Source organism: Homo sapiens, chromosome 1, assembly GCF_000001405.40.
Source record: "Homo sapiens chromosome 1, GRCh38.p14 Primary Assembly".
NCBI classification, from domain to species: Eukaryota; Metazoa; Chordata; class Mammalia; order Primates; family Hominidae; genus Homo; species Homo sapiens.
In genome coordinates this window covers 154956163-154974378 of record NC_000001.11, presented here as the reverse complement: position 1 = coordinate 154974378, position 18216 = coordinate 154956163, and the positions used below count along the sequence as shown (strand labels likewise).

At 54.4% G+C, this 18216-nt stretch overlaps 2 protein-coding genes and 1 long non-coding RNA gene across 44 annotated transcripts, besides 9 other annotated features; 2 read left to right on the top strand and 1 right to left on the bottom strand.

Annotated features, from left to right (window-relative positions):
- Positions 3–12081, top strand: SHC1 (SHC adaptor protein 1). 42 transcript variants are annotated; one of them, XM_047427995.1, is made up of 14 exons: positions 3–131; positions 871–1086; positions 4180–4347; positions 4931–5001; positions 5545–5608; positions 5765–5884; positions 6122–6175; positions 6348–6399; positions 6582–6708; positions 7862–8060; positions 8148–8217; positions 8302–8433; positions 8598–8740; positions 10448–12081. In XM_047427995.1, exons 3-14 carry the CDS (start codon positions 4183–4185, stop codon positions 10574–10576), a joined length of 1326 nt encoding a protein of 441 aa, XP_047283951.1. In that variant the 5' UTR covers positions 3–131; positions 871–1086; positions 4180–4182; the 3' UTR covers positions 10577–12081. The 42 variants fall into 41 exon arrangements, with proteins under 42 accessions (XP_047283951.1, XP_047283938.1, XP_047283948.1 ...); XM_047427982.1 differs by having other exon boundaries at positions 8598–8836; XM_047427992.1 differs by having other exon boundaries at positions 8299–8433.
- Positions 53–202: an enhancer, noted in NCBI's record as "active region_1798". NCBI's record gives its function as "activates an Ori minimal core promoter by ATAC-STARR-seq in GM12878 lymphoblastoid cells {active_cell/tissue: GM12878}" and the evidence as "EXISTENCE:reporter gene assay evidence [ECO:0000049][PMID:35858748]".
- Positions 3754–4304: an enhancer, noted in NCBI's record as "H3K27ac-H3K4me1 hESC enhancer chr1:154942551-154943101 (GRCh37/hg19 assembly coordinates)". NCBI's record gives its function as "activates a minimal SCP1, AML or CMV promoter by ChIP-STARR-seq in naive H9 embryonic stem cells {active_cell/tissue: H9 hESC(naive)}" and the evidence as "EXISTENCE:reporter gene assay evidence [ECO:0000049][PMID:30033119]".
- Positions 4305–4855: an enhancer, noted in NCBI's record as "H3K27ac-H3K4me1 hESC enhancer chr1:154942000-154942550 (GRCh37/hg19 assembly coordinates)". NCBI's record gives its function as "activates a minimal SCP1, AML or CMV promoter by ChIP-STARR-seq in naive H9 embryonic stem cells {active_cell/tissue: H9 hESC(naive)}" and the evidence as "EXISTENCE:reporter gene assay evidence [ECO:0000049][PMID:30033119]".
- Positions 11510–12249: an enhancer, noted in NCBI's record as "H3K27ac hESC enhancer chr1:154934606-154935345 (GRCh37/hg19 assembly coordinates)". NCBI's record gives its function as "activates a minimal SCP1, AML or CMV promoter by ChIP-STARR-seq in naive H9 embryonic stem cells {active_cell/tissue: H9 hESC(naive)}" and the evidence as "EXISTENCE:reporter gene assay evidence [ECO:0000049][PMID:30033119]".
- Positions 11510–13051: a biological region, named in NCBI's record as "H3K27ac hESC enhancers GRCh37_chr1:154933865-154934605 and GRCh37_chr1:154934606-154935345".
- On the bottom strand, positions 11756–12841 carry PYGO2-AS1 (PYGO2 and SHC1 antisense RNA 1). Its single transcript, NR_171036.1, has one exon. It is a non-coding gene; the product is annotated as a PYGO2 and SHC1 antisense RNA 1 (long non-coding RNA).
- Positions 12132–12541: a silencer, noted in NCBI's record as "silent region_1370". NCBI's record gives its function as "represses an Ori minimal core promoter by ATAC-STARR-seq in GM12878 lymphoblastoid cells {active_cell/tissue: GM12878}" and the evidence as "EXISTENCE:reporter gene assay evidence [ECO:0000049][PMID:35858748]".
- Positions 12250–12990: an enhancer, noted in NCBI's record as "H3K27ac hESC enhancer chr1:154933865-154934605 (GRCh37/hg19 assembly coordinates)". NCBI's record gives its function as "activates a minimal SCP1, AML or CMV promoter by ChIP-STARR-seq in naive H9 embryonic stem cells {active_cell/tissue: H9 hESC(naive)}" and the evidence as "EXISTENCE:reporter gene assay evidence [ECO:0000049][PMID:30033119]".
- Positions 12592–13051: a silencer, noted in NCBI's record as "silent region_1369". NCBI's record gives its function as "represses an Ori minimal core promoter by ATAC-STARR-seq in GM12878 lymphoblastoid cells {active_cell/tissue: GM12878}" and the evidence as "EXISTENCE:reporter gene assay evidence [ECO:0000049][PMID:35858748]".
- On the top strand, positions 12597–17353 carry PYGO2 (pygopus family PHD finger 2). The gene is made up of 3 exons (NM_138300.4): positions 12597–12905; positions 13353–13402; positions 14533–17353. The coding sequence occupies exons 1-3, from the start codon at positions 12803–12805 to the stop codon at positions 15598–15600; spliced, it is 1221 nt and encodes a 406-aa protein (NP_612157.1). The 5' UTR covers positions 12597–12802; the 3' UTR covers positions 15601–17353.
- Positions 14595–15094: an enhancer, noted in NCBI's record as "H3K4me1 hESC enhancer chr1:154931761-154932260 (GRCh37/hg19 assembly coordinates)". NCBI's record gives its function as "activates a minimal SCP1, AML or CMV promoter by ChIP-STARR-seq in primed H9 embryonic stem cells {active_cell/tissue: H9 hESC(primed)}" and the evidence as "EXISTENCE:reporter gene assay evidence [ECO:0000049][PMID:30033119]".
- Positions 17354–18216: the final 863 nt, after the last annotated feature.

Genomic DNA, 18216 nt, shown 5'->3' with positions numbered 1-18216 from the left:
GTGAGTGTAATAAAGTTTCTCCAGGGAGGCAGGGCCCGGGGAGAAAGTTGGAGCGGTAACCTAAGCTGGCAGTGGCGTGATCCGGCACCAAATCGGCCCGCGGTGCGGTGCGGAGACTCCATGAGGCCCTGGTGAGTCTTGACTTTTTTCTCCTTAGGTGACTCACTCTTTCACCCCGGAACCCCTCTCCCGGGACCCCACTTCCGGTCTTCATTTATAAGTCCCGCCCCTGAGACCCCTCTCCCCGGAAGTCCCACCTCCCAACTTCAGGGGGCTCCCCCGAACCCCGACTTGATTTTTATTTTTTGTCTCCGACCCCACCCTGTCGCCCAGTTTTTCTGGAAGTCCCCACCCCCCGACACGTTCCAAGCCCTACTACGAGAAACCCTTCGTTACTCCTTCCATTCTCCGAAACTCCGCCTCCTAGCAACGATCCTCGGCTAACTCCTGTCAAAAGGCCTATCTCCCAAAAGGGCAAAACCCTGCTCTTCAAAGAACGATTCGAATTTGTTGAAGCTCCGCCCCTCCGAAGCCACGCCCCCTCCGTAATCCACGTCTGACTGTCCAGAAAGCCTCCCCGCCCAGAAGTCTGAAGTTCGCGTCCTTAGGGGACCACGCCCCCTTAGGAGCTTTATCTTTGTGGGACCTGGGTCATCAGCTGAAAAGCCTTGTCGTCAATCCCTGAAACTCCACCTGCTTATATTTTCCTGTCCTTTCTCTTTTTGGGCCTTGGGATCAGTTTTCCGAGCACTCTCGTGCTCCCCCAGGTGGGAAGTCAAAGTTCCCATCTCTGGCTGTAAGGAGTGAGATTAAAGGCAGCCGTTTTCCGTTTTCCTTTCTATCTTTTTTTTTTTTTTTTTTTTTTTTAAGACGGAGTTTCGCTCTTATCGTCCAGGCTGGAGTGCAATGGTGCGATCTCGGCTCACTGCAACCTCCGCCTCCTGAGTTCAAGTGATTCTCCTGCCTCAGCCTCCTGAGTAGCTGGGATTACAGGCGCCCACCACCACGCCCGGCTAATTTTTGTATTTTTAGTAGAGACGGGGTTTCCCCATGTTGGCTAGGCTAGCCTCGAACTCCTGACCTCAGGTGCTCCACCCTTATCAGCCTCCTTAAGTGTTAGGATTACAGGCGTTAGCCACTGCGCCCGTCCCCGTTTTCCTCTTTCTTAACCTCCTCCAAGGGTAGAACTATTTGAAAGGGCTGAACGTGGGGTTTGGCACGAGAGGGAGAGAGAGACTTGCCCTCAGACTCCCAGCCTCACTTCCTGGCTTTCCCTTCCCAGGACCAACCTCATCCCAGAAGTAGCTCTAGGCCTTCCTAGACATAAGTGGATAAGACCATGGATTTGTTGGTGTGTGGCATGTGGGTGTGACATGAGCAAAAGTTTTCTACTACCAGAAGAACGGTAGTTTGGAGTGGGGGTAGATAATAGTGCTCTTTTTGTTGTTTGATTTTTTTTTTTTTAAGGGACAGTTCAGTCGCTACTTCTCTGTCTCTTCCCCTCCCCCTAACCAGAGTTCTTGTCTGGGCATTCCTCCTGGCCCCGTTTGCCCAGCCTTCCCTGCTGGAAACATTCCTGAGGCTTTCGCCATTTCCTGCCACTTCCCGCCCCTGTCCCCTCCTCCCAGTTGGGCTGCGAAGCCACACACAGCTTTTCCCCTACACCCAATCACCTGGACTTCCAGTAGGCAATCTCCTTTCTCCCTATGTAAATTTCAAGAGTCATACGTCTTTCTTTTCTTCCGAACGCCCACACCCGTTGGTCCTTCCCTGGCTCTGGATACTGTAGGCTCCCACAGAACATCATCTCTACAGATGAGGGACATCCTAGTGTGTGTTTGTGTGTTTTGGGGGTGTGAGGCTATGGTGGAATCCTTTCCTCATTCTCTCTATGCCCGAGAGCTGGCTGGAAATGAAGTGATAAAATTCCTTCTCAGGATTGGCTGGCAGAGTGACAAAGCTCTTCTGGAATGAGCACTAAGGGGAGATGTAAGAGTTAAGCACAGCATCTAACACACTTCAAGTGTTAATGTTGTTAATCAGGATAATTATCTATCTATATTTTAATTCTCTGAAGTAAATCTAAGGGTAATTCCAAGGTGAGCTGGGGGGAATACGTATTTTTTTTTTTTTGAGACGGAGTTTTGCTCTTGTCACCTAGGCTGGAGTGCAATGGCTCGATCTCGGCTCACTGCAACCTCCGCCTCCTGGGTTCGAGCGATTCTCCTGCCTCAGCCTCCTGAGCTGGGATTACAGGTGCCCGCCACCACGCCCAGCTAATTTTTGTATTTTTAGTAGAGACAGGGTTTCACCATGTTGACCAGGCTGGTCTCGAACTCCTGACTTCAGGTGATCCACCCGCCTCAGCCTCCCAAAGTGCTGGTATCACAGGTGTGAGCCACCGCGCCCGGTAGGAATACGTATCTTTGTTTTTTTTTTTTTGGTCACTTTCCAGCTTTGCCTGTGGCATTCTCCGGAAGAGCAGTGGCAGGAAGCCGTGGGTGGCAGGAATGGGTTTGGGACTGTTCCCTGTGTCCAGCTTCAACCCATCTTCTCCTGACACCCCTTTCTCCTGTACTTATTTTTCTCCTGTCCTTATTGACGCAGATGTGTCTTCTGATCTCTCTGTCCCTTCCTGGCCTGTAGTTTCTACTTCTCTTGGAGAACTGTTTCTTCCACCTCCTCCAGCCAGGCTCCTTCCCTGGTGTGAAGGATGCTGTGCTCTTTGGTGGGGCTTAGGGCCCTGTAAGAGGAGGGATGTGAATTGGGGTGGTTTGGAGTGGGAGTGGGGACCTGATTGCCTCATTCTCACCCTTGACAGTGTGCTGTGTTAACAAGCCCTGTGGAAAGGGGAGACAGGACAGTGCTTGGCTATGAGCCATCGGTCTTGGTGTGGTAGATGGCATACGTAGAGAACAAGCCGTGACCAGCATGTCCTCTTGTTCCCTTCTTGCCTGGTAGCTTCCTGATGTATCATCCAGGTTGAACTTTATTCCCCTTTTTTCACCAGCTTTGCTCTTCCTCTTGGCCCTGCTCTGCATCCATTGGGACCACTTACTTCCCATCCCCACTTCGCTAGCTCCAGTCCACAGCTGCTGTAGCAGAGGATGCTAATGGCCCAGGCTTACTGTATGGGGTAGCGGTTGGGGGTGGCCTGGGCTGGGGCCAGCCAGCTTTCGGGCATAGAGAGGGTGGGGGAATTCGAGTGTCCAACCAGGACAGGAAGGGAAATGCTGAGCTCTGAGATCTCCTCCCTTTTCCACCCCCAGCTGCCTCTGTTTCCTCCCTCATTCCCCTGTACTCCTGCCTGGCTTCCTGCCCCCTTTGGCCTGCGTGTGTCCGGTTTTGAGTGACCCAGACCTCCTATCTCCTTCCTTTCCGTCCCACTCTTCCATCCTTCCCTCCCACCCCCACTTTACTTCTCCCCAGATTACTAGTTGTTTGTATAGGGCAGGGGAGAGGGGCTTGGATAGCCCTACCCCCTGCTCCAGTTCGAGGTTGGGGCGGGGTGGGGGCTCAGCCCCTCTGAGCCTGTGAGTCAGCACTGTCCTCACGATTGGTCTCTCCCCTTAGCTCCCCGCCCCTGGGGAGGAGCCAGAAGCGCTGGGTCCAGCCTGTTCTCTTCTCAGCCAGAGAAGAGGCTCCACGTTGGGCGGGGATGGGGCCTGAAACTGTCTGGGTCTGAGCTGGGGAGCGGAAGCCACTTGTCCCTCTCCCTCCCCAGGACTTCTGTGACTCCTGGGCCACAGAGGTCCAACCAGGCTAAGGGCCTGGGGATACCCCCTGCCTGGCCCCCTTGCCCAAACTGGCAGGGGGGCCAGGCTGGGCAGCAGCCCCTCTTTCACCTCAACTATGGATCTCCTGCCCCCCAAGCCCAAGTACAATCCACTCCGGAATGAGTCTCTGTCATCGCTGGAGGAAGGGGCTTCTGGGTCCACCCCCCCGGAGGAGCTGCCTTCCCCATCAGCTTCATCCCTGGGGCCCATCCTGCCTCCTCTGCCTGGGGACGATAGTCCCACTACCCTGTGCTCCTTCTTCCCCCGGATGAGCAACCTGAGGCTGGCCAACCCGGCTGGGGGGCGCCCAGGGTCTAAGGGGGAGCCAGGAAGGGCAGCTGATGATGGGGAGGGGATCGTAGGGGCAGCCATGCCAGACTCAGGCCCCCTACCCCTCCTCCAGGACATGAACAAGCTGAGTGGAGGCGGCGGGCGCAGGACTCGGGTGGAAGGGGGCCAGCTTGGGGGCGAGGAGTGGACCCGCCACGGGAGCTTTGTCAATAAGCCCACGCGGGGCTGGCTGCATCCCAACGACAAAGTCATGGGACCCGGGGTTTCCTACTTGGTTCGGGTGAGTGAACATCCTCCTCTCCATTCCCCCGCAGACCCCCTCCAGTTCTAATGCTCACTCCAGCTTGGCCGGAATCTCTTTTTTCCTGCTGTTCCCCAACAACCCCGTTTCAGTGTCCTATTTCCTAAACCTTTCTCATCCCTTCCCCGATTCTGTAGCCCCTTCCCTTCCAGCTTTGCCTGGGCCCCCTTCCTTCTTTTCACTCCCCCACCCCCACCCTGGCATGCTTAGCACAATGCCCAGCATGGCAGAAGCTCTTAATAAGTGTTGGAATGAATGACTTCTTGATCTTTCCTCCATTCTCCTCCCGCTTTCTGGAGTTGTCACTCCATCCCAGCCAATGCCTGTCGGTCCCCTCCAAACTCTCTCCCCAGTGTGTGAGGTCCTTCTAGCCTGCCTTTTCTTTTTCTCCTCATTCCCTGTTGTCTTTCACCTTGGTTGTGGGATGTAGCCACGGGAAGTGGGCAGAACTTCTTCCTCTTTACTTCCCTTAGGGACCATATGGGTAAAGTCCTAGGGCCCTTTGTGAAGGGGCTGGGGTGGGGGAGCCGCTGACCTGCTGTCCTCTTCTCCCTCCCCTTAGTACATGGGTTGTGTGGAGGTCCTCCAGTCAATGCGTGCCCTGGACTTCAACACCCGGACTCAGGTCACCAGGTTAGTGGGGAGGGAGTGGATTGTGGGAGTCCTGGGATTAGTGAGGCCATGGGAAACAGAGGAGGGGAGTGGGTCACTTGGGTGCTGCTGCTGGGGGCTGATCTTTGCGTAGTAAAGGGGATTGAGAGAAAGCTGAGGTAGTGATTCCGCCTCTTACTGAAAGGAGGCCCCTTTGGCCCGGATCCTCCTTACCTATCCAGCCTTGGGAGTTGTGGGGAAGGTGGCAGAAGCAGCTGGCAGGTGGAGCTGGAGTAGAAAAGGGGGGTAGATGGAAGGTTGCTGCTGCCTTTGGGAAGGGAATGGGACATTTGGTAGCTGGAAGGGGGTGGGGCTATACCCATTGAGGCCCTAACCCAATCAGCCAGGAAGTGGCCTCTCAGTGTCATCAAATATTAAAGGCCCTTAATTCAATCCACCATGACAAAGAGCCTGGAGTGCCCTGGGAGTCTGGCCTGGCTTTCCCCTCCCCCAGCCCTGTGGCAGCCCCAGTTGAGTGGGAGGCAGGCAGGCAGGCGCTGGGTCTGAGTACCCCTCTTTCCCCAGGGAGGCCATCAGTCTGGTGTGTGAGGCTGTGCCGGGTGCTAAGGGGGCGACAAGGAGGAGAAAGGTACTTGGGGTCCTTGGGGATAGGGATGCTGCTGGGAAATGTGGAGGGGCAGTGGGGAGGCAAGTGTGGGGCATGTGGGGAGAGGGCCAGGAGGCAAAAGTGTGGTTTGCCTGTGCTGGGAACCCTCACCTTCTGAGACCCTGGGCCCTACCTTAGCCCTGTAGCCGCCCGCTCAGCTCTATCCTGGGGAGGAGTAACCTGAAATTTGCTGGAATGCCAATCACTCTCACCGTCTCCACCAGCAGCCTCAACCTCATGGCCGCAGACTGCAAACAGGTTGGTGAAGGTGGGCAGACGGACCAGAAACACTGATGGGGGTGCTAAGGGGAGATCTAGTTAGGAGGCCAAAATCTAGGAAGAGGGCTTGAGAGCAGGAGACCAGTAGGGAAGGAGGAAATGAGGATATGGGATAAGGAACCCAGAGAATGAGACTGGGGCACCAGGGTTCTGGGCCCTGAGGCTGCCTGACACATGGCATTCCCTTCCTTCTTCATCCCCTGCCCTAATTCTCAGATCATCGCCAACCACCACATGCAATCTATCTCATTTGCATCCGGCGGGGATCCGGTGAGTTGGGGAACAGAGCAAAGGCGGTGGGAGAAGAGCAAGGGGCTAGGGATTGGGAAGACATTGATTAGAGAAGTGGGGGTGCTAGGATTGTGGGGATATCTGAAAAGGACTGGGTTTTAGGGGTCAGGAGTAAAGTAGAACTGTAAAATTTTTTGACCTTCCTCCCCAGGACACAGCCGAGTATGTCGCCTATGTTGCCAAAGACCCTGTGAATCAGAGAGGTGAGGCATGGTGGGGAGCACTGGGTGGGTCTGGCTGTTTGAGGAGGTGAGTAGGACCTTTGGTCATCTGTACCCACTCTAAGTAGATCTCAGTGGGGGTTCCTGCAGAGGAAGATGAGGGCCCCTGTCTGTGCCTCCTCCCAGTGGGCTCAGCTCACTGACAGCCTCTGCTGTGCCCTCAGCCTGCCACATTCTGGAGTGTCCCGAAGGGCTTGCCCAGGATGTCATCAGCACCATTGGCCAGGCCTTCGAGTTGCGCTTCAAACAATACCTCAGGAACCCACCCAAACTGGTCACCCCTCATGACAGGTGAGCAGGTGGGGAGAGTGTGGAGCAGCTCTTGGATTAGGATTAGGAAAGGAGGGCTGCTCTTCCTACACTTGAGTTGAGAGGTTCAGGGAGGGAATAACCTGTGTGCCTCTGCTTCCCACTTCCTGCTATTCTTCTGTTTCCTGTGGCCCAGGAGGAAAGACTTTTGAGGCCCTGCTTGCCGCAGGACCAGCTTTTCTTGTTTGCTCATGGTGGAGTTGTAGTCCGGGGCCTCCAAGTTACATCTCTCTCTGGCTAGGTGGGATTTTCTACTCCCATCCCTCTTTCTTGCTCATTTCTCTGCTTGGCATTATGTGTTTTCCTGCCTCTAGAAGCCATCAAGAATTTGGGTTTGGGAGGATATCTCTTTTCCCTGAGATTACAACCTTTCCCACCTCAGGCCTTGAGGGATAAGCAGTGGAGCCAGTAGGGATTGAATATTTAGGAGAGGTTAAAATATTCTGGAGCTGGAGTGCCTCCCCCGGCCCCCCACCCCCCTACATGGTGCTTCCCTTCCTTGTTGGGAGATAGCACAGAGATCAAGAGCAAGAGCATTACTTATTTGAGACAGTCTTGCTCTGTAGCCCAGGCTGGAGTTCAGTGGTACAATCACAGCTCACTGTAGCCTCCATATCCTGGGCTTGAGTGATCCTCCCACCTTAGCCTCCTGAGTAGCTGGGGCTACAGGTGCATGCCACCACACCTGGCTGAGTAGTAGTATTTTTATTCTGGTAGAGATAAGGTCTCGCTATGTTGTCCTGGCTGGTCTTGAACTCCTAGGCTCAAACAACCCTCCCTCCTTGGCCTCTGAAAGTGTTGGGATTATAGGCGTGAGCCATTGCACCTGGCCAAGGGGATGAGCTTTAAAGTCAAACCTGAATTTAAATCTGAGCTCGGCCGCCTTTTAGTTGTGAGACCTTGGGCAGATCTTTTCACCTCTGACCCTCATTTTCCTCATCTGTAAAAGTGGGGAAGGAAACAATACCTACCTTACGGGGTTGCCAGGAGAATGAAATGATTATGTATATAAAACACTCAGCCTCAGGCTTAATCCATAGTAAATACCCAATAGATGGCTGCTGTTCTATTCTGTCCTTCCCTCCTCCTGCCCACCACACATTTACAGCCACAGCTTCACTGTCCTGTCCCTCAGGATGGCTGGCTTTGATGGCTCAGCATGGGATGAGGAGGAGGAAGAGCCACCTGACCATCAGTACTATAATGACTTCCCGGGGAAGGAACCCCCCTTGGGGGGGGTGGTAGACATGAGGCTTCGGGAAGGAGCCGCTCCAGGGGCTGCTCGACCCACTGCACCCAATGCCCAGACCCCCAGCCACTTGGGAGCTACATTGGTAAGTTGCTTGGATGGAGGCGGGCTGGGGCTAGGGTGGGAGTGGTTGGTTAGGGCTTCTGGTCTCACCTTATTTTTATCCCTGCAGCCTGTAGGACAGCCTGTTGGGGGAGATCCAGAAGTCCGCAAACAGATGCCACCTCCACCACCCTGTCCAGGTATGAAGGGAGCCGAGATAGGCAGAGCTGGGGAGTGTTGGAGGCAGGGCTGGGATCACTGTAGAGCCTCCCTTTCCTCAGCAGGCAGAGAGCTTTTTGATGATCCCTCCTATGTCAACGTCCAGAACCTAGACAAGGCCCGGCAAGCAGTGGGTGGTGCTGGGCCCCCCAATCCTGCTATCAATGGCAGTGCACCCCGGGACCTGTTTGACATGAGTGAGTGCTCGTCTCTCTCCTCTCTGCATCCCCACCTTTCTACTTGGTTCTGGCCCTTCTCCTGCCTATCTGCTCTTTCCTTCCTGACTTCCCTTCCCTGAAGTCTGGGTCTTGGGTGTGTGTTGTGCCTGCTACTTCCCCTCACCCTCCCTCTATACTTCCAGAGCCCTTCGAAGATGCTCTTCGCGTGCCTCCACCTCCCCAGTCGGTGTCCATGGCTGAGCAGCTCCGAGGGGAGCCCTGGTTCCATGGGAAGCTGAGCCGGCGGGAGGCTGAGGCACTGCTGCAGCTCAATGGGGACTTCCTGGTACGGGAGAGCACGACCACACCTGGCCAGTATGTGCTCACTGGCTTGCAGAGTGGGCAGCCTAAGCATTTGCTACTGGTGGACCCTGAGGGTGTGGTGAGTGTGGCAGAGGTGTGGGTGAGGGGTGGCAAAAAGGAAGGTACAGTACCCTACAGTGTATCCCTCTTCCTTCCCTCATTGCTTTGTAGACATTCCCGCTGGGCAGCTGTCTATGGGCCTCTCTTGCTCTTTAAAGTGTCTGGCATCTTCCTCCAGAGGCTCATCCCTTAGCCTGAACTATGTTCTTTATAGTCCTGGCACAGGGCCAGGCGTGGTGGCTCACACCTGTAATCCCAGCGCTTTGGGAGGCTGAGGCAGGTGAATCACCTGAGGTCAGGAGTTCGAGACCAGCCTGACCAATATGGTGAAACCCTGTCTCTACTAAAAATACAAAAATTAGCCGGGTGTGGTGGCAGGCACCTGTAGTCCCAGCTACTCAGGAGGCTGAGGCAGGAGAATTGCTTGAATCTGGGATGCAGAGGTTGCAATGAGCTGAGATCACACCACTGCACTCCAGCCTGGGTGACAGAGTGAGACTCTGTCTGAAAAAACAAAACAAAACAAATACAGTCCTGGCCCGTCCTCAAATCCCCAAGCCTTAAGCTTATCAGAGCTAGAAGGCAGTCATCTCATCTGTGCCCCTCTTTTGACAAATAAGGAAACCACCCTGAAGAGGTTGTGATGCCCAATGTCAGATGGTTAGAGGCTAGACACTGCAAGTTTCCTTTTGTAAGAAGATCCAAGGGCTTCTCCAGCTCCCCAGACTCAGGACTCAGACCACTGTGCTTTCTCTTATCTGCACTGCCTCACTGTTCTTCAAAACTTTCCTTGTTTAGCCAGGTGTGGTGGTTCATGCCTGTAATCCCAACATTTTGCGAAGCTGAGGTGGGAGGATTGCTTGAGGCCAGGAGTTCAAGACCAGCCTGGGCAACATAGCGAGACCTTGTCTCTAGTCAGGAATGGTGACACATGCCTGTAGTCCTACCTACCCAGGAGGCTGAGGCCTGAGGATCGCTTGAGCCCAGGAGTTCGAGGTTACAGTGAGCCATGATTGCGCCACTGTACTCTAGCCTGGGTGACAGAGACCCTGTCTGGAAACAAAAAAACTTTTGTTTGTTTTCTACAGTAATCTCAGCTTCCTTTCTTTTTTTTTGAGATAGGGTTTTGCTTTGTCACTCAGGCTGCGGTGTGGTGGCACACCTGGCTAATTTTTGTATTTTTTTTTTGGTAGAGATGGGGTTTCGCCATGTTGCCCAAGCTGTTCTTGAACTCCCGGGCTCAAGTGATCCGCCTCCCTCGGCCTCCCAGAGTGCTGGGATTACAGGCACGGACCACCATGCCCAGCCTCCACATCTTTTTTTGCACTGTGTATACTCTTCTGAGACATGCCAACTTCCTCCAGGTCAAGAAAGGGGTATATAGCTCTCAGCTTCACTCTTTCAGGGCTGATGTCGCCTTTGCCTTTTCTCACTTCACTGACCTGTCTATTCCTACAACTGTCTCTTTCTAGAGAAGCCTCAATGATCAGGATTGACAGGCCACACTCTCCCCCACCATTTTTTTCTCCTCCTTCAAGCCTCTTGTCTGTTTCACCCTCTTCCACCTTGGAGGCTGAGGTCTTATTTGACTCTTCACCTGAATTGACCTTCTTCCTTCCCACCCTCCCAGGTTCGGACTAAGGATCACCGCTTTGAAAGTGTCAGTCACCTTATCAGCTACCACATGGACAATCACTTGCCCATCATCTCTGCGGGCAGCGAACTGTGTCTACAGCAACCTGTGGAGCGGAAACTGTGATCTGCCCTAGCGCTCTCTTCCAGAAGATGCCCTCCAATCCTTTCCACCCTATTCCCTAACTCTCGGGACCTCGTTTGGGAGTGTTCTGTGGGCTTGGCCTTGTGTCAGAGCTGGGAGTAGCATGGACTCTGGGTTTCATATCCAGCTGAGTGAGAGGGTTTGAGTCAAAAGCCTGGGTGAGAATCCTGCCTCTCCCCAAACATTAATCACCAAAGTATTAATGTACAGAGTGGCCCCTCACCTGGGCCTTTCCTGTGCCAACCTGATGCCCCTTCCCCAAGAAGGTGAGTGCTTGTCATGGAAAATGTCCTGTGGTGACAGGCCCAGTGGAACAGTCACCCTTCTGGGCAAGGGGGAACAAATCACACCTCTGGGCTTCAGGGTATCCCAGACCCCTCTCAACACCCGCCCCCCCCATGTTTAAACTTTGTGCCTTTGACCATCTCTTAGGTCTAATGATATTTTATGCAAACAGTTCTTGGACCCCTGAATTCAATGACAGGGATGCCAACACCTTCTTGGCTTCTGGGACCTGTGTTCTTGCTGAGCACCCTCTCCGGTTTGGGTTGGGATAACAGAGGCAGGAGTGGCAGCTGTCCCCTCTCCCTGGGGATATGCAACCCTTAGAGATTGCCCCAGAGCCCCACTCCCGGCCAGGCGGGAGATGGACCCCTCCCTTGCTCAGTGCCTCCTGGCCGGGGCCCCTCACCCCAAGGGGTCTGTATATACATTTCATAAGGCCTGCCCTCCCATGTTGCATGCCTATGTACTCTACGCCAAAGTGCAGCCCTTCCTCCTGAAGCCTCTGCCCTGCCTCCCTTTCTGGGAGGGCGGGGTGGGGGTGACTGAATTTGGGCCTCTTGTACAGTTAACTCTCCCAGGTGGATTTTGTGGAGGTGAGAAAAGGGGCATTGAGACTATAAAGCAGTAGACAATCCCCACATACCATCTGTAGAGTTGGAACTGCATTCTTTTAAAGTTTTATATGCATATATTTTAGGGCTGTAGACTTACTTTCCTATTTTCTTTTCCATTGCTTATTCTTGAGCACAAAATGATAATCAATTATTACATTTATACATCACCTTTTTGACTTTTCCAAGCCCTTTTACAGCTCTTGGCATTTTCCTCGCCTAGGCCTGTGAGGTAACTGGGATCGCACCTTTTATACCAGAGACCTGAGGCAGATGAAATTTATTTCCATCTAGGACTAGAAAAACTTGGGTCTCTTACCGCGAGACTGAGAGGCAGAAGTCAGCCCGAATGCCTGTCAGTTTCATGGAGGGGAAACGCAAAACCTGCAGTTCCTGAGTACCTTCTACAGGCCCGGCCCAGCCTAGGCCCGGGGTGGCCACACCACAGCAAGCCGGCCCCCCCTCTTTTGGCCTTGTGGATAAGGGAGAGTTGACCGTTTTCATCCTGGCCTCCTTTTGCTGTTTGGATGTTTCCACGGGTCTCACTTATACCAAAGGGAAAACTCTTCATTAAAGTCCGTATTTCTTCTACCTCTGCCTCTTAACCCTTCTGGGAAGCCTATTGTGTACGCCGCGGGCCCTCAGCGGCAGACGGGGAGGCGGGAGGTCGCGGCCGCCCAGGGAAGCTGGGGGTCTGCAGAGTTTGGGTGCGGCAGAGTGGGGCGTTTCGCGCCACCGTCCCCATGGGGATGTCGTGTCCGCAGAGGGGGCTGGCTCCGGGTGGGTCGAGGCGGGAGCCGGGCCTGCCCGGCGCCCCAGCACCGGCCCCCGGGCTACCTGGGCCTCCCGGGTGCGCCTTCGGCTCGCGCGCGCCCCTCCGCGGCGGCTCCACCGCCCGGGATGGTACGGTCCGGCAGCCGGGCCGCGCGCTGCCGCCCCTCGGTGAGCTGGTGTGGGCCGCCGCTAGCGGAGACGACCCTTTCCACTCGCGTGGTGCCGTGGTAAGCCTCGTCCCTCGCCCGCCGCCTGTTTTCAGGCGTAGCGTCTCGTCCGGTCCTTGCTCCCCCTCCCCGCAGCGCTCAGTGGTGGTGGCCGCGACGAGTTCCGGTTCCGGTTGCTGCCGCCGCTGGCGGGCGGCGAGTCTGGAGAGAGCGCGCAGTTTGCGCGGCGGCTCGGCGCTTCCCTGTCGTCGCACTTTGTGGTTGCTGCAGCTCGGGGGCCTGGGCTGCCCCTGACACCCCTTCTGGGCGATGGTGCAGCCCAAGGGCGCCTCCATCCCCCGCCGCTGCCGCTAACCCGGGTCCCCCACTCCATGGCCGCCTCGGCGCCGCCCCCACCGGACAAGCTGGAGGGAGGTGGCGGCCCCGCACCGCCCCCTGCGCCGCCCAGCACCGGGAGGAAGCAGGGCAAGGCCGGTGAGCGCGCTGCGAGGGGCGGGGGCTGAAGAGGCCCAGGACTTGGGAACCTCAGAGGGGAGGGATGGTGGGCGGGGGGTGTTTCACAGTCTGAAGGCTTGAAGGGAGGCTCAGGTGAAAAGGATGGGTGGGTGTAATCCTCCAGGGGTTGGGGGCAGGTGTCACACATTGAGGACTCTAGGGTTTGGAGCCACATGGAATTCAGTACTCACTTGGAGCTTGAGGATATCGAAAGATGGGATATCTTTCATTTAAAGGAAGACGTAGCTGAGAGTATGATCATCTTCACAATCTATTTTTCATATTGCACCCCTTGTTAGCATTTGTTGAATAAATAAGCAAGTATGTATTGACGTTAAAGGAGTTCCTCAGAGCATGGCTGAGAGAAAAGAGGTTGGGGAAACCTCAGGGAAACTTGTCTGCGTCTTCCTTTTGCCGCTCTTCCAGGTCTGCAAATGAAGAGTCCAGAAAAGAAGCGAAGGAAGTCAAATACTCAGGTGAATGGTGGTTGGTGGTGGGTTTGGTTCCCAGCAGCCCCTTGGCGGCACACTGTCTACTCTGCCATTCCAGTATCTGTTTGTATCTTGTATCAGCTGCAGGGAGGAGAGAGAAAACTGTCTTTCTTGCTTTGCTTCTTGTTCTTTCGCTGAACCTTATAACAAGTTTAGGGGAAAGTATCCTCTCCTAAGAGATGATTCGACCAAAGTTCTTACCACGCAGGGTTCCAGTCTCCTCCATGTTTCCTGTCCTGGTTTCCTCCTGATGATAACGTAACACCTACCACTTACTGATCCTTTTTTTAGTGCCAGGGATTGCGCTAACATGCTTTAACAGTTTGGGGAGATAGGCATTATCCCTATTTTACAGATGAGAAATCTGGGGGTTAAAAATGTTAAATACATGCTCCACAGTCTTGAGGTTGTTTTTCAGGGTCAGAGCTGGGATTCCATCCTAGTTCTGCCTGTTTTTAAAACATAGTTACTGCACTATGTTGGTTCCACTCTCCACCCTCTTTTTCTTGTCTTTTTTTTTTTCTTTTTTCTTTTCTTTTCTTTTCTTTTTTTTTTTTTGTAGTAACAGAGACTTGCTGTGTTACTACTCAAACTCATGGGCTCAAGGGATCCTCCTGCCTCGGCTTCCCAAAATGTTAGCATTACAGGTGTGACCCACTGTGCCTGGCCTGTGGTCCATTTTTTTTTTTTTTTTTTTGAGACGGAGTCTTGCTCTGTTGCCCAGGCTGGAGTGCAGTGGTATGGTCTTGGCTCACTGCAAGCTCCGCCTCCTGGGTTCACGCCATTCTCCTGCTTCAGCCTCCCGAGTAGCTGGGACTACAGGCGCCCACCACCACGCCCGGCTAATTTTTTTGTATTTTTAGTAGAGACGGGGTTTCACCGTGTTAGCCAGGATGATCTCGATCTCCTGACCTCGTGATCTGCCCGCCTTGGCCTCCCAAAGTGCTGGGATTACAGGCGTGAGCCACCGCACCTGGCCTGTGGTCCATATTGATTTTAGACCTGAGCTGCCCACAGTATCAGCCTCCAAAATGTGTATTGTGTTGGTAGTGCTCTCTTGGTTTAGCTCTGTGTTTCCCTCCATGACCCTCTTTCCCTCAACTGTTTCTCACTAGGGCCCTGCATACTCACATCTGACGGAGTTTGCACCACCCCCAACTCCCATGGTGGATCACCTGGTTGCATCCAACCCTTTTGAAGATGACTTCGGAGCCCCCAAAGTGGGGGTTGCAGCCCCTCCATTCCTTGGCAGTCCTGTGCCCTTCGGAGGCTTCCGTGTGCAGGGGGGCATGGCGGGCCAGGTACCCCCAGGCTACAGCACTGGAGGTGGAGGGGGCCCCCAGCCACTCCGTCGACAGCCACCCCCCTTCCCTCCCAATCCTATGGGCCCTGCTTTCAACATGCCCCCCCAGGGTCCTGGCTACCCACCCCCAGGCAACATGAACTTTCCCAGCCAACCCTTCAACCAGCCTCTGGGTCAAAACTTTAGTCCTCCCAGTGGGCAGATGATGCCGGGCCCAGTGGGGGGATTTGGTCCCATGATCTCACCCACCATGGGACAGCCTCCCAGAGCAGAGCTGGGCCCACCTTCTCTGTCCCAACGATTTGCTCAGCCAGGGGCTCCTTTTGGCCCTTCTCCTCTCCAGAGACCTGGTCAGGGGCTCCCCAGCCTGCCGCCTAACACAAGTCCCTTTCCTGGTCCGGACCCTGGCTTTCCTGGCCCTGGTGGTGAGGATGGGGGGAAGCCCTTGAATCCACCTGCTTCTACTGCTTTTCCCCAGGAGCCCCACTCAGGCTCCCCGGCTGCTGCTGTTAATGGGAACCAGCCCAGTTTCCCCCCGAACAGCAGTGGGCGGGGTGGGGGCACTCCAGATGCCAACAGCTTGGCACCCCCTGGCAAGGCAGGTGGGGGCTCCGGGCCCCAGCCTCCCCCAGGCTTGGTGTACCCATGTGGTGCCTGTCGGAGTGAGGTGAACGATGACCAGGATGCCATTCTGTGTGAGGCCTCCTGCCAGAAATGGTTCCACCGTGAGTGCACAGGCATGACTGAGAGCGCCTATGGGCTGCTGACCACTGAAGCTTCTGCCGTCTGGGCCTGCGATCTCTGCCTCAAGACCAAGGAGATCCAGTCTGTCTACATCCGTGAGGGCATGGGGCAGCTGGTGGCTGCTAACGATGGGTGACGCTGGTGAAGTGGCCCAGGGAAGTGCACATGTCTCTCCCTGCTCTTCCAGGGTGATTTTTTTGATGTTTGGCTCTTGGTCCTTGTTTCCACTGGCTTTCCATCCCCATGGGGCAGAAACAGTGGCTCCTGGGAGCAGAAAAGGAATTGAGGTGGGCAGGCAGAAGAGCCTGGATTGCTCACTGTTTTGGGAAACTTACATGTTGAGATCTACAGAGATCCAGGAAACCAAAGCCCTGCTGAGCAGAGCCATTTTGTGGCTATTTCTGGAGGCCCAGGAGTGTGGCTGCAAGAGAAAAGGGGCTGGAGGAAGATCCGGAGGGCAGGGGTGTTCCCTCTGCTGATGATGGATGCCCCTAACACCTGTGCCTAACACCCCTACTGAACCCCACAGCTCCAGCCTTAGTTTTTGGAGTCAAGTGTTAAAGGTTTCTGGCCAGAGGAATTGGGGTCTTGCCATCCCTGCAATAGCCCTTTTATGGGCTCTGGGAGACAGCTTTAGGGAATAAATGGGGATTTTCCCCTTTTTCTACCCACTCCTTTGCTTCCTCCAAGACTTACCCAACTCCTTCCCCCTCAGAGAACCAAATAGCCTGAGGAAGCAGGAGAGTTCCTGGTTATGGCAGTTTCTTGGTGATTTGGGGCTTCAAGACAGTAGGTGAGAGATGCTGTCAGGACGTATCTTCTTCATACCAAAGTCACTGGTCCTTTCTCAGCCTCTCTCGTGCTTTTCTCCTAATGACCATATTTTTGCCAAAAATTGGGATATGTTATCTGACAGACCAGAATATTTGAAGTTTGGGCTGTCCTGAAAGTCTGGACTTTGGTGGTACCCTCCTCCCCCAGCCCATCTGTTGCACATTATACTCCGTGTGTTCTTCAACTTTCGGCGCCCTTATTCCCCTGCCTTCCTGGCTTGATTGAAGGAAAGCTTGAAAAGGCGCAGAGCCCTATACCTCATTTCCTCCATGATAAAAGGATCCAAGTGAGGCCCTGTCACAGCCTGTGGGTAGGGGATGCGGCGGGATCCTCATTGCCATGGTACTCAAAGGTAGAAGAGCCTGGAGTTTGTTGCTTCTCTTTGCTATTCTTTCATATCCTCTTGGGCCTGGTGATTAATTAGCAATTCTCATTCCTCTCAGCCAAAGGCCTGCACTGGGCTTTATTTGTCTTTTTTTATTTTTTAAGCACTGCCTGCCAGAGATGGGCCTGGGGCCTGATGAGGACCTTAGCGCTGCTCGTTCTCCTTTTCTGTTCATGCACACATTCCTCCATGGGGTGGGGAAGGCAGGCATGGGGTGTGGCCCTCGGAGAAGTTAGGAGTCCCCCAGCTCAAGATACAGTGGCAAAGACCTAGTGGTCCCCTACCCCCACTTCTCTCAGTTCCTGGCATGAGGAGAGAAGACCCTGCTCTGGTGGAGCTGACAACCTTTGAGGCTGGGAGGAGAGCAGCCTCTGGGCATCGTTCCCAGTGTCCCTCACACTAAAACGGCGTAGATGGCAACCCCCCACCCCCACCCCGCTGCTCAACTCTTGTGTTTGTTGTTCTGTTTGCCCCATTTATCTGTTGCTGTTTTTGTGTTGTCTTCCCCTGCTCCGCATTTTGTAAAATGGCCCCTGGGGGAGTGTTTTTGCTGGATCTGCTCCCTCTCGCTCTCTCACTCCACTACTTTTTGGAACAAAGTGATGGCAGAATGCGGTGGTGGTGGGGGTCTTTTGTACTGTTGGATTAATAAAATGATTTTAAAATCCCAGACAAGGACTCCTTGCTGTTGCTGTGTGAAAAGGCTGGAATGAGCCGCTGTCACTGCTGGGTAGGGTGCTTAGGGGTTGAGGATATGTATGCTCCCCAGGGTCCCTGGGAGTGGGAATGGCAGATTTGGCCCCTGAGCTGACCCTGGTATAAGCTGCTGAGCCAAGGGAGGCCTGTGTTTCCCCGCCCATCCCCCTGTGTCTCCACTGTGAGAAACTGAGTTTCCTTTTTGAGCATATTCCTGGGCCAGGCCTGGAGCCAGGCGGATTTGGCACCACAGCCTCTGGAAGACAAGTGCTTGAGCTCTTCTGGGTTTAGCACCCCACCCACCTCCCAGTTGTTTGGGTTAGGGAGCAAGTGTCGCTCTAAGGGTGAGGGGAGGGGCTGCTTCTGTCCTAGCAAATTTCATTTTGGGATGTTTTTCAGATCGTTCCCGTCCCCCAACCGTTTTTTAAAGTAGCAATGGCATCTTTTAAGCAGTCTGTTTTGGAGCAGATTGGGGAGAATGGCAGGAGGGCTATTTCCACACCCTGGATTTGCGACCTGTCCCTCTCCCTTCCCCCATCTCACAGCTGTCTCTGTCTATCCTGGGGCCAACCTGGCCCCTTGTCTTCGTCATCTCAGAAGACGGCACCGTCTGCTTTTCTCTCAGTTTGTGGGGGTTCCCTCTAGAAACTGTTTAGACACTGGGAAAGAAGGGCAGGAAACTCAGGATTCGGTTAGCTGGGACCCCGGTCGCCCACCAGGAGGTAAGCCCAGGTTTAGGGCCGTGTCGCTAGACCTCCCTTCCCCTCCCCTGGCTCTCAATTCCTGCTCTTATTGGCCAAAAGTTTCCGCCCCCTTGGGGAAGTTGACTTTTCATTG